This window comes from Homo sapiens, chromosome X, assembly GCF_000001405.40.
Source record: "Homo sapiens chromosome X, GRCh38.p14 Primary Assembly".
NCBI classification, from domain to species: domain Eukaryota; kingdom Metazoa; phylum Chordata; class Mammalia; order Primates; family Hominidae; genus Homo; species Homo sapiens.
In genome coordinates, this window is record NC_000023.11 from 145281232 (window position 1) to 145282142 (window position 911).

Sequence of the window (911 nt, forward strand, 5' to 3'; positions counted from 1 at the left end):
TCTGAGTTTCCTACCTGTGTAATATTGAAATTCTTTCAGTTTCCTCAACATATATATTTTGAATTTTCTGTTTGAAAGGTCCCATATCTCTTTCTTCAAGATGGGTTCCTGGTGACTTATTTAGTCCATTGTGTGGTTATGTTTTCTGAATACTTTGCTTGGTTATGTTTGTCTTCATACTTTGTGTATGTCTGGGGATGGAAGAGTTAGGTATTTATTTTACTCTTCACTGTCTGGGCTTGTTTGTACCCTTCCTTCTTGGGAAGTCTTTCCAGATATTCACAATGACTTGAGGGTTGTGATATAAGCTGTATATGCTTATGGGGTTTCTCAAGCACAGTAACGTGGTTCTTCCAGACTTGTAGAGGTACTGCTGTGACAGTCTTGAACACAACCTGGAAGAGTAATCTTCCCTTACTTTATCTTAAACAAACGGAATGTCTCTTTCTGTTCACAGCCACTTGATGCTGGGGGTGGAGTGACACAAGCACCCCTCTGGTCACCACCCCTAGGACTGCACTGGGTCAGACCTCTAGCCATCACAACAGTGGGTCTCACCCAAGGCCTGCAGTAACCACTCCCTGGCTACTTTTTGTTTGCTCAAGACCCTGAATTCTAAAATAAGCAGGTGACAGATATATCCAGTCCTGTGTCCTTCCCTTCAGGGCAGTGAGATTCCCCAGGCCCTGGGTGGGTCCAGAGGTACCATCAAGAGCAAGGGACCAGACTCAAAAACCTTAGATTCCTACCTGGTGCTCTGTTCTACTGTGGCTAAGCTGGTACTCAAACTGCAAGACACCATCCTTACCACTCTTTCTTCCCCTTCCCAAAAGTAGAGGAGCCTCACCTTGTGGCCACTGCCACCACAGGCTGAATGGGAGCACTGTCAGACTACTGCCAATGTTCCTTTA

At 45.2% G+C, this 911-nt stretch overlaps 1 annotated feature.

Annotated features, from left to right (window-relative positions):
- Positions 433 to 595: a silencer, noted in NCBI's record as "fragment chrX:144363184-144363346 (GRCh37/hg19 assembly coordinates)". NCBI's record gives its function as "represses an EF-1alpha promoter that drives an FKBP-Casp9 reporter gene in an ReSE screen in K562 erythroleukemia cells {active_cell/tissue: K562}" and the evidence as "EXISTENCE:reporter gene assay evidence [ECO:0000049][PMID:32094911]".